Source organism: Homo sapiens, chromosome 11 (assembly GCF_000001405.40).
Source record: "Homo sapiens chromosome 11, GRCh38.p14 Primary Assembly".
Taxonomy (NCBI): Eukaryota; Metazoa; Chordata; class Mammalia; order Primates; family Hominidae; genus Homo; species Homo sapiens.
Genome location: NC_000011.10, coordinates 5,207,992 through 5,221,731, shown reverse-complemented (window position 1 = coordinate 5,221,731; position 13,740 = coordinate 5,207,992).

Genomic DNA, 13,740 nt, shown 5'->3' with positions numbered 1-13,740 from the left:
CAGTCTGAGGTCAAACTGCAAGGTGGCAGTGAGGCTGGGGGAGGGGTGCCCACCATTGTCCAGGCTTGAGCAGGTAAACAAAGCCGCCTGGAAGCTCGAACTGGGTGGAGCCCACCACAGCTCAAGGAGGCCTGCCTGCCTCTGTAGGCTCCACCTCTAGGGGCAGGGCACAGACAAACAAAAGACAACAAGAACCTCTGCAGACTTAAATGTCCCTGTCTGACAGCTTTGAAGAGAGTAGTGGTTCTCCCAGCACATAGCTTCAGATCTGAGAACAGGCAGACTGCCTCCTCAAGTGGGTCCCTGACCCCCGAGTAGCCTAACTGGGAGGCATCCCCCAGTAGGGGCAGACTGACACCTCACATGGCTGGTACTCCTCTAAGACAAAACTTCCAGAGGAATGATCAGGCAGCAGCATTTGCGGTTCACCAATATCCACTGTTCTGCAGCCACCGCTGTTGATACCCAGGAAAACAGCTTCTGGAGTGGACCTCCAGTAAACTCCAACAGACCTGCAGCTGAGGGTCCTGACTGTTAGAAGGAAAACTAACAAACAGAAAGGACATCCACACCAAAAACCCATCTGTACATCGCCATCATCAAAGACCAAAGGTAGATAAAACCATAAAGATGGGGAAAAAGCAGAGCAGAAAAACTGGACACTCTAAAAATGAGAGTGCCTCTCCTCCTCCAAAGTAACGCAGCTCCTCACCAGCAATGGAACAAAGCTGGGCAGAGAATGACTTTGACGAGTTGAGAGAGGAAGGCTTCAGAAGATCAAACTACTCCAAGCTAAAGGAGGAAGTTCGAACAAACGGCAAAGAAGTAAAAAACTTTGAAAAAAAATTAGATGAATGGATAACTAGAATAACCAATGCACAGAAGTCCTTAAAGGACCTGATGGAGCTGAAAACCAAGGCAGGAGAACTACGTGACAAATACACAAGCCTCAGTAACCGATGAGATCAACTGGAAGAAAGGGTATCAATGACGAAAGATGAAATGAATGAAATGAAGCATGAAGAGAAGTTTAGAGAAAAAAGAATAAAAAGAAACGAACAAAGCCTCCAAGAAATATGGGACTATGTGAAAAGACCAAATCTACATCTAATTGGTGTAGCTGAAAGTGATGGGGAGAATGGAACCAAGTTGGAAAACACTCTGCAGGATATTATCCAGGAGAACTTCCCCAATCTAGCAAGGCAAGCCCAAATTCACATTCAGGAAATACAGAGAACGCCACAAAGATACTCCTAGAGAAAAGCAACTCCAAGACACATAACTGTCAGATTCACCAAAGTTGAAATGAAGGAAAAAATGTTAAGGGCAGCCAGAGAGAAAGGTCGGGTTACCCACAAAGGGAAGCCCATCAGACTAACAGCTGATCTATCGGCAGAAACTCTACAAGCCAGAAGAAAGTGGGGGCCAATATTCAACATTGTTAAAGAAAAGAATTTTCAACCCAGAATTTCATATCCAGCCAAACTAAGCTTCATAAGTGAAGGAGAAATAAAATCCTTTACAGACAAGCAAATGCTGAGAGATTTTGTCACCACCAGGCCTGCCCTACAAGAGCTCCTGAAGGAAGCACTAAACATGGAAAGGAACAACTAGTATCAGCCACTGCAAAAACATGCCAAATTGTAAAGACCATCAAGGCTAGGAAGAAACTGCATCAACGAGCAAAATAACCAGCTAACATCATAATGACAGGATCAAATTCATACATAACAATACTCACCTTAAATGTAAATAGGCTAAATGCTCCAATTAAAAGACACAGACTGGCAAATTGGATAAGGAGTCAAGACCCATCTGTGTTCTGTATTCAGGAAACCCATCTCACGTGCAGAGACACACATAGGCTCGAAATAAAAGGATGGAGGAATATCTACCAAGCAAATGGAAAACAAAAAAAGGCAGGGGTTGCAATCCTAGTCTCTGATAAAACAGATTTTAAACCAACAAAGATCAAAAGAGACAAAGAAGGCCATTACATAATGGCAAAGGGATCTATTCAAGAAGAAGAACTAACTATACTAAATATATATGCACCCAATACAGGAGCACCCAGATTCATAAAACAAGTCCTGAGTGACCTACAAAGAGACTTAGATGCCCACACAATAATAATGGGAGACTTTAACACCCCACTGTCAACATTAGACAGATCAACGAGACAGAAAGTTAACAAGGATATCCAGGAATTGGACTCAGCTCTGCACCAAGCAGACCTAATAGACATCTACAGAACTCTCCACCCCAAATCAACAGAATATACATTCTTTTCAGCACCACACCACACCTATTCCAAAACTGACCACATAGTTGGAAGTAAAGCTCTCCTCAGCAAATGTAAAAGAACAGAAACTATAACAAACTGTCTCTCAGACCACAGTGCAATCAAACTAGAACTCAGGATTAAGAAACTCACTCAAAACCACTCAGCTACATGGAAACTGAACAGCCTGCTCCTGAATGACTACTGGGTACATAACAAAATGAAGGCAGAAATAAAGATGTTCTTTGAAACCAACGAGAACAAAGACACAACACACCAGAATCTCTGAGACACATTCAAAGCAGTGTGTAGAGGGAAATTTATAGCACTAAATGCCCACAAGGGAAAGCAGGAAAGATCTAAAATTGACACCCTAACATCACAATTAAAAAACTAGAGAAGCAGGAGCAAACACATTCAAAAGCTAACAGAAGACAAGAAATAACTAAGATCAGAGCAGAAGTGAAGGACATAGAGACACAAAAAAACCCTTCAAAAAAATCAATGAATCCAGAAGCTGTTTTTTTGAAAAGATCAACAAAATTGATAGACTGCTAGCAAGACTAATAAAGAAGAAAAGAGAGAAGAATCAAATAGACGCAATAAAAAATGACACGGGGTATCACCACTGATCCCACAGAAATACAAACTACCGTCAGAGAATACTATAAACACCTCTACGCAAATAAACTAGAAAATCTAGAAGAAATGGATAAATTCCTCGACACATACACTCTGCCAAGACTAAACCAGGAAGAAGTTGTATCTCTGAATAGACCAATAACAGGCTCTGAAATTGAGGCAATAATTAATAGCTTATCAACCAAAAAAAGTCCGGGACCAGTAGGATTCATAGCCGAATTCTACCAGAGGTACAAGGAGGAGCTGGTACCATTCCTTCTGAAACTATTCCAATCAATAGAAAAAGAGGGAATCCTCCCTAACTCATTTTATGAGGCCAGCATCATCCTGATACCAAAGCCTGACAGAGACACAACAAAAAAAGAGAATGTTACACCAATATCCTTGATGAACATTGATGCAAAAATCCTCAATAAAATACTGGCAAACTGATCCACCATGATCAAGTGGGCTTCATCCCTGCCATGCAAGGCTGGTTCAACATACGAAAATCAATAAACATAATCCAGCATATAAACAGAACCAAAGACACAAACCATATGATTATCTCAATAGATGCAGAAAAGGCCTTTGACAAAATTCAACAACGCTTCATGCTAAAAACTCTCAATAAATTAGGTATTGATGGGACATATCTCAAAATAATAAGAGCTATCTATGACAAACCCACAGCCAATATCATACTGAGTGGACAAAAACTGGAAGCATTCCCTTTGAAAACTGGCACAAGGCAGGGATGCCCTCTCTCACCACTCCTATTCAACATAGTGTTGTAAGTTCTGGCCAGGGCAATCAGGCAGGAGAAGGAAATAAAGGGCATTCAATTAGGAAAAGAGGAAGTGAAATTGTCCCTGTTTGCAGATGACATGATTGTATATCTAGAAAACCCCATTGTCTCAGCCCAAAATCTCCTTAAGCTGATAAGCAACTTCAGCAAAGTCTCAGGATATAAAATCAGTGTGCAAAAATCACAAGTATTCCTATGCACCAATAACAGACAAACAGAGAGCCAAATCATGAGTGAACTCCCATTCACAATTGCTTCAAAGAGAATAAAATACCTAGGAATCCAACTTACAAGGGATGTGAAGGACCTCTTCAAGGAGAACTACAAACCACTGCTCAATGAAATAAAAGAGGATACAAACAAATGGAAGAACATTCCATGCTCATGGGTAGGAAGAATCAATATCGTGAAAATGGTCATACTGCCCAAGGTAATTTATAGATTCAATGCCATCCCCATCAAGCTACCAATGACTTTCTTCACAGAACTGGAAAAAACTACTTTAAAGTTCATATGGAACCAAAAAAGAGCCCACATCACCAAGGCAATCCTAAGCCAAAAGAACAAAGCTGGAGGCATCACGCTACCTGACTTCAAACTATACTACAATGCTACGGTAACCAAAACAGCATGGTACTGGTACCAAAACAGAGATCTAGACCAATGGAACAGAACAGAGCCCTCAGAAATAATGCCGCATATCTACAACTATCTGATCTTTGACAAACCTGAGAGAAACAAGCAATGGGGAAAGGATTCCCTATTTAATAAATGGTGCTGGGAAAACTGGCTAGCCATATGTAGAAAGCTGAAACTGGATCCCTTCCTTACACCTTATACAAAAATTAATTCAAGATGGATTAAAGACTTACATGTTAGACCTAAAACCATAAAAACCCTAGAAAAAAACCTAGGCAATACCATTCAGGACATAGGCATGGGCAAGGACTTCATGTCTAAAACACCAAAAGCAATGGCAACAAAAGACAAAATGGACAAACGGGATCTAATTAAACTAAAGAGCTTCTGCACAGCTAAAGAAACTACCATCAGAGTGAACAGGCAACCTACAAAATGGGAGAAAATTTTTGCAATCTACTCATCTGACAAAGGGCTAATATCCAGAATCTACAATGAACTCAAACAAATTTACAAGAAAAAACAAACAACCCCATCAAAAAGTGGGCAAAGGATATGAACAGACACTTCGCAAAAGAAGACATTTATGTAATCAAAAAACACATGAAAAAATGCTCATCATCACTAGCCATCAGAGAAATGCAAATCAAAACCACAATGAGATACCATCTCACACCAGTTAGAATGGCGATCATTAAAAAGTCAGGAAACAACAGGTGCTGGAGAGGATGTGGAGAAACAGGAACAACTTTTACACTGTTGGTGGGACTGTAAACTAGTTCAACCATTGCGGAAGTCAGTGTGGCAATTCCTCAGGAATCTAGAACTAGAAATACCATTTGACCCAGCCATCCCATTACTGGGTACATACCCAAAGGATTATAAATCATGCTGCTATAAAGACACATGCACACGTATGTTTATTGCAGCACTATTCACAATAGCAAAGACTTGGAACCAACCCAAATGTCCAACAACGATAGACTGGATTAAGAAAATGTGGCACATATACACCATGGAATACTATGCAGCCATAAAAAATGATGAGTTCATGTCCTTTGTAGGGACATGGATGAAGCTGGAAACTATCATTCTCAGCAAACTATCACAAGGAGAATAAACCAAACACCGCATGTTCTCACTCATAGGTGGGAATTGAACAATGAGAACACATGGACACATGAAGAGGAACATCACACTCTGGGGACTGTTATGGGGTGGGGGGCAGGGGCAGGGATAGCACTAGGAGATATACCTAATGCTAAATGACGAGTTAATGGGTGCAGCACACCAACATGGCACATGTATACATATATAACAAACCTGCATGTTGTGCACATGTACCCTAAAACTTGAAGTATAATAATAAAAAAAAGTTATCCTATTAAAACTGATCTCACACATCCGTAGAGCCATTATCAAGTCTTTCTCTTTGAAATAGACAGAAATTTAGTGTTTTCTCAGTCAGTTAACATTCCTTCAACTAGATTAGTTGTGACAAAATTTCAGGCCTTGCTCAACTCTAACCTCAGTCTCTCCATATATTTCTGAGAGTCTTCCTTCTTATTTGTTTATAAGAATTTAGTAAATGGCAATATTGAGAAGTAGAAAATTTTGGAGACTTGTTTTTCATGAACCAGAACAATCTCAAAGCAGCAATACTAAACAGGAGCCAAGCCTAGAATAAAGTTGAATTTCTGGAATCAACAAGCTAGGGGAAAGTCTCCCATTAAGTCAAATATTTGACAACTGGGAGGTCAAGTCAGAGGTGAAAAATGATTAAAGATAACAAGAGGTCTGAAAACAAAGTGACCAATTAAAATAAAAAGAAAGAGCCAAGCTGGGCACAGTGGCTTGCATCTGTAGTCCCAGTAACCCAGGAGGCTGAAGTGATAGGATCACTTGAGCCCAGGATTTCAGGGTTGCAGTGAGCAATAATGACACCACTGCTCTCTAGCCTTGGTGACTGAGATCCTGTCTCTGAGGAAAAACAAACAAACAAGCAAAAAACAAACAAACAAACACACAGATATTAAGAACATAGAAGTTTTGTTACGGTGATGATATTCTCCAACACAGGTCTGAACCCCTTGCAGTGCCTCGGGGCTGTTTCTCCAGTGGATTCTTGGGTTCTTCACATCTTCTCAACTTTGTGAAAAGATATTCATCCAAAGGTCTCACCTGTCTTATTCAGAGCTTGGATTTTGGACTAGCTTTTTCTATTTCTTGGGATTCTCTAGAGCCATATATTCAGATATAACACAGATATAACCAAAAGAAGCAAAGGAGGCATCACAGAAGGGGCTTTGTATTCTGGGGAGGGGGACATAGAGTTGAGAGAAATACAGGAATTTATAGGACTCTACTCAAAGAGCCCTCAAATAAAGTACGGCTAGTCTTCTTTGCCTAAGACAATGAGCAGTCCAGGAAGTTATCCATTTCTTTTAGATTTTCTAGTTTATGTACATAGAGATGTTCATAGTAGTTTTTGATGATTATTTGTATTTCTGTGGGGTGAGTGATAATATTCCCTTTTTCATTTCTAACTGTGCTTATTTGGATCTTCTCTCTTGTCTTCTTTATTAGTCTAGCTAGTGATCTACCTTATTAATTTTTTCACAAAACCAGCTCTTGGACTCATTAATCTTTTGAATGGTATTTTGTGTTTTAATATCCTTCAGTTAGCTTTGATCTTGTTTATTTCTTGTCTTCTGCTAGATTTAGGGTTGGTTTGCTCTTGGTTCTCTGGTTCTTTTAGTTGTGACATTAGGTTGTTAATTTGAGGGCTTTAAGACTTTTTGATGTGGGCATTTAGTGTATAAATTTCTCTCTTAACACTGTCTAAGCTGTGTCCCAGAGATTCCGGTATATTGTATCTTTGTTCTCATTAGTTTCAAAGAACTATTTTATTTTTGCCTTAGTTTTCATTATTTACCCAAAATTCATTCAGGAGCAGGTTGTTTAATTTCCATGTAATTGCATAGTTTTCAGCTATTCATTAGTCTTGAAATCTATTTTTATTCCTCTGTGGTCTGAGAGTGATTGATATGATTTTTTTTTTGCATTTGCTGAGGATTGTTTTAGGTCCTCCCAAGGCTGAACCAGGAAGAAATCAATTTCCTGAAGAGATCCATGATGAGCTCTGAAAATGATTCAGTAATAAATAGCCTATCAAACAAAAAAAGCCCTGGACAATATGATTCACAACCAAATTCTATCAGATGCACAAAGAAGAGTTGGAAAAATTCCTACTGAAGCTACTCCAAAAAATTGAGGGGGAGGGATTCAACCTCAGCTCATTTTATGAGGCCAGCATCATCCTGATACCAAAACCTGATAGACACACAACAACAAAAAAAGAAAACTTCAGGCCAATATCCTTGAACATTGATGCAAAAATACTAGCAAGCCAAATCCAGCAACACATCACAAAGCTAATCCACCTCAATCAAGTAGGCTTTATCCCTGAGAAGCAAGATTGGTTCAGCATATACAAATTGATAAATGTGATTCATCATATATACAGCACTAAAAACAGAAACCACATGATCATTTCAATATGTGCAAAAAAAGATTTTGATAAAATTCAACTTCACTTCATGTTAAAACCTCTCAACAAACTAGCTATTTAAGGACATGACCTCAAAATAATATGAGCCATCTATGACAAACCCACAGCCAACATCATACAGAATGGGCAAAACCTGGAAGCATTCTTCTTGAAAACTGGCACAAGACAAGGATGCCCTCTCTCACCACTGCTATTCAGTATAGTACTGGCAGTCCTGGCCAGAGCAATCAGGCAAGAGAAGGGAATAAAGGGCATCCAAATAGGAAGAGAGAAAGTCAAAGTATCCCTGTTTTCTGTATCTAGAAAACACCATAGTCAAGGCCCAAAAGCTCCTTCAGCTGATAACTTCAGCAAAGTTTCAGGATATAAAATCAATGTACAAAAATCACTAGCATTCCCATACATCAACAATAGCCAAGCCTAGAGCCAAATCAGGAAGTCAATCCCATTTACCGTTGCCACAAAAAGAATAAAATACCTAAGGATATATCTAACCAAGCAGTTGAAAGATCTCTACAATGAGATTTACAAAACACTGCTCAAAGAAATCAGAGCTGATAGAAACAAATGGAAAAACTTTCCATGCTCATGGATAAAAAGAATCAATATTGTTAAAATGTCCATACTGCCTAGAGCAATTTACAGTTTCAAAGCTATTCCTATCAAACTACCAATGACATTCTTCACAGAACTAGAAAAATACACTTTAAAGTTCATATGGAACAACAACAAAAAAAGTCCAAATAGCCTAGGAAATCCTAATACTCACAGGTGGGAATTGAAAAATGAGAACACTTGGACACAGGGTGGGGAACATCACACACCGGGGCCTGTCGTGGGGTGGTAGGAGAGAGGAGGGATAACATTAGGAGATATATCTAATGTAAATGACGAGTTAACGGGTGCAGCACACCAATATGGCACACGTATACATATGTAACAAACTGCACAGGTACCGTAGAACTTAGAGTACAAAAAAAAAAAAAGAGAAAAAGAAAAAAGCTGGAGATAATACATTGCCTAACTTCAAACCATACCACAGGGCTACAGTAACCAAAACAGTGTGGTACTGTTACAGAAAAGACACACAGACAAATGGAACAGAATAGAGAGCCCAGAAATAAGACCACATGCCTACAACCATCTGATCTTTGACAAAGCTGATAAAAACAAGCAATGAGGAAAAGACACCCTATTCAACAAGTGGTGTTGGGATAACTGACTAACCGTATGTAGAAGATTGAAACCAGACCCCGTTCTATATCATATACACAAATAAACTCAAGATGGATTAGAGACTTAAATGCAAAACCCAAACTATAAAAATGCTTGAAAGCAACCTAGGCAATACCATTCCGGACATAAGCAGGGGCAAAGATTTCATGACAAAGATGCCAACAGTCATTGCAGCAAAAGCAAAAATTGACAAATAGGATCTAATTAAAATAAAGTTTCTGCACAGCAAAAGAAACTATCAACTGAGTAAACAACCTATAGAATGGGAGAAAATTTTTGCAAACTATGCATCCAACAAAGGCCTAATATTCAGAATCTATAAGGAACTTAAATGAATCTACAAGAACAAAACAAACAATGCCACAAAAAATGGGTAAAGGACATGAACAGACAGTATTCAAAAGAAGACATACATGTGGCCACCAAGCATATGAAAAAAGCTCAGTGTCACTGATCATTAGAGAAATGCCAATCAAACCCAAAATGAGATACTATCTCACATCACTTAAAATATCTATAATTAAATAGTCAAAAAATAACAGATGTGGGTAAGGTTGTGGAGAAAAGGGAATGTTTATACACCATTGGTGGCAATATAAATTAGTTCGACCATTGTAGACAGCAGTGTGGCAATTCCCTAAAGACCTAAAAACAGAAATACCATTTAACCCAACAATCCTATTATTGAGTATATACCTAAAGGAAAATAAACCATTCTATCACAAAGACACATGCACACCTGTGTCCATTGCAGCATAATCACAATAGCAAAGACATAGAATCAACCTGAAGGCCCATTAGTGGTATACCGATAAAGAACATGTACATATACACCATGGAATACTATGTGGCCATAAAAAAGAATGAGATCATGTCCTTTGCAGGAACATGGATGGAGCCGGACACCATTATCCTTAACAAACTAATGTAAGAACAGAAAACCAAATACTACATATTATCACTTACAAGTAGGAACTAAATGATGAGAAAACATGCACACATAACGGGAACAAAAGACACTGCAGCCTAATTGAGTTTGGAGGGTGGGAACGGGGAGAAGAGCAGAAAAAGTAACTATTGAGTACTGGGAGATGAAATAATCTGTACGACAAACCCATGACATGTGTTTAGCTATGTAACAAACCATCGTGAGTCTTTAGCAGTTCTTTCCTCCCATTTTATTCTTCCTTGCTCCTCTTTCCACCTATTAGTCACATATCTTTTTATAGTTATAATCAGCTTGTTTTTAAGTCTAACAAAATGTTGTTTTATGCGCATTATGAAAGTAATTTAATGATTCTCTGTCCTTCTTTGTAATTTGATTTTATGCAACAAGCATTTATTGTGTTCCTATATAGTAAATATAAAAACTGTATATATGTTGGAGGTAAAAAATAATGACAATGTAATTTTTGCCCTCAAAATAATGTGAGCAATTTAGTCCTATGGCTCCTATTTGTTAAAGACATTCAGTTACTTCTGACAACCTGAATTGTTAATTTCTTTCTTTCTAGCTCTCTTTTTTTTTTTTTTGACAGGGTCTCGCTGTGTTGCCCAGGTTGGAGTGCAGTGGTACAATCTTTGCTCACTGCAATCTCCCCCTCCTTGGCTCAAGATATCCTTCCACCTCAGCCTCCCAAGTAGCTGGGACTACAGGCACGTAACACCATATTCGGCTACTTTTTAAAATTTTTTGTAGAGAGGGGTTTCTCCATGTTGCCCAAGCTGGTCTCCAACTCCTGAGCTCAAATCGTTCTCCCTCCGGCCTCGGCTGTGATTACAGGTGTGAGCCACTGTGCTTGGCCCAGACAACATGAACTGTTACTGTTATTTTCTAATCCTTCGAGGAACTCAAGTCCTATCTTGAAAACTAATTCAAAAGGTACTAACGAGATTAGGAAGTGCCCCGAGAGAGTGCATAGAGGAGAGGGTAGAAGTAAAGCTGGGTTTGCTTTGTTAGTGAAGGAATAAAATGCATCAGAGGGCCGACCTTCTCAGCCTCTGATAGGCCCTGAGCTGGGAGCTGCTAAGCCATCCTGCAGAGCAAGTGGGAGAAACAGAGGGCATTAGGTCAGACTTGGCAGATTCTGCTCCTTTTTCCCTTCCCTTTTCCCCATCCACTTGCTCATTCTGGATGGCAGGATTAGGCTTTATATTTCCCTACCATATTAGCTTGTGCACTTAAAGGAAGTTTAGATAGCCTTGACTCCATGGGGAAAAGGAAAAAGTACATTTAGTGGGGTGTGGGACTGTTGGATTATTAGATGTCTTGCATTTCTCTCATTCTGTTCCAGTTGAGGCCAGCTTGCTTCCCACTAGAAGAATAACTGTTCTCTTTATACAATTCCTAGTCAAGTAGGGGCAAAAAGTATTTTCATTTATTATTGTTTTTCTGGGATGTAGCCAGGAGCAATTTAAACTTGCTGGAGTGCAATTTCTTCAACTACAAATGAGAATAATAATAACAGGTCTACGAACTAATTGTAATAATACAGAACTAAATGTAAATATACAAAGGATAAATTCAAAATCTGGGCACATGCAGGCTGCTATAAGAGAAAACATCTATGATATTATAGGTTGACCAAATGACATTAAATTATAGTGGGGAGGTAAACAGGTTGGCAGTGTATTTTAAAGTTGAACATATGCATATTTTATGACCTAGCAATTTACAGAATATATATACAAAAATATATAAGAATCTTCATAGCAGCAATTTATATTATAGCCAAAAGCTAGAAGGTACTCAAATATCTATCAACTGTGGAGTCAATAAATATATTGTGGTATATACATAAAATAGAATGACATTCAGAAATGAAAAATCAACTACAGTCATACACTAGTATGAATGCAATTCACAAACATAATATTGAATAAAGTCAGACATAAGCAACACAGTATAATTCAATGTATACACACTTTTAAAAAAAGGGACATGAGTCAATCGTGATAAAAATGAATTATATCAGGATAATTATTAACTTTGGAGACAATTAGTGGAATGATAAAGAGTGAGCATATGTTTACTCTTTAATTTCCTATCTTATTAGTTGTTACATGGGTGTGTTCACCTTCCAAAAGTTAATTCAGCTGTGCATGTATAATTTGTGTACTTTTATATATGCATGCTGTACTTAAAATATTAAAATAAAAACTAAATTTAGAAACTAAACAATGGAAAAAAGTCAGACCATTTCTTTGCATTTCAAGAAGTGCATACTAACTGAGATATTACATTCTTAAATGGCTTTAGTCAATTAGGCTTTAAATTTCACCACTATATAAACATTTGCTTCTAAATCTAGGTAGACTGTCTTAACTTCCTGAAGAAGAGGGAAGAAATAATGAAAAAAGGAAAATAACAGAAATACCTAGAGGAGGGAAATAAAAAGCCTAGGAAAGCAACATGAAAAGATGGTGCTCTCTGGTACATCCTGTGCTTCCTGAGATGTTGTTATTCGTCTTTTACACACACTGTCTTGGGATGGGCATTAAGGTGTTGTAGCTACTCAGCTAGTAAGTAGCTGAGCTAAGATTCTTTCAATTCCAAAGTCAGCAGTGTCTTCACTACATGGTACTATGTCAAGAAAGAGAAACTCCACTAAAAAGAACTTCATTGCTCTCTGTTAGGGATACATTAACATTTTGGGACATGAAAAAAAAATGTTACAATAGCTTACAGGTCACCTCCACTTATATGACCTATGGACCTCTTAAACTCAGCGAGTTGAAAAGATAGTAAATTATCCTCCACTTCTTTCAGTTTCCTCTAATGCTTCCAAACTTGATGAATGGTTCACTCAGATTTCCAAGACAAAATTTTGTCAATCATTTTTGCCTTTACTCTCCACTCTCTTCTATCCCTTATATATATTTAATAATCAATTTCTCACAACTAGAATTATTATCATAAATACTGATAGCTTTTGAGTGGCAGATAATGAGCCGTTTTTATATATTATCATCATACCAACAATATTTTTAAAAATTGTGCAGCTAAGTGTTGAGCTAAAAATTATATACCTAAGAAATGACAAAACCAAGATTTGAAACCAGTTCTCACTGACCAGAAGATCATTCTTTCAGCTAAGGAGCTAATTACTGCGTTCCTTCATAGTTTTTTTTTTTCCTCTCAGGTATTCCCTGAAATATGCATTTTCTTGGTCCTACTCTACTCAAATTTCAAACCACTATTATTTCATGCCCTTCAATAACTTCTAACCGGTTCTATTTTCCTATTTGTGTCTTGCAACATGGGATAATAGGTTCTGGCATGAGACAGCCCGGGCTCTACTCTCAGGTCCATAAGTTAATAGCTTTGTTTTGAGGATAAGTTACTTCTCTATGCCTTACATTCCTCAATAATAAATTAAGAGCTATAATGGAATCTACTTTATAAATTTCTTATAGTGAGTAAATTAACATAAATTCCTTCGAAAAATGACAAACCAAATAAGTTCCCAGTAAATATTAACTTTTTATCATGATGATCATGGTGATATTAATAATAAAACTAAAATTATAATTTTTTTCTTCACCTATAGCCACAGTCAGCTTCTCAAAGACAAATATGATTAT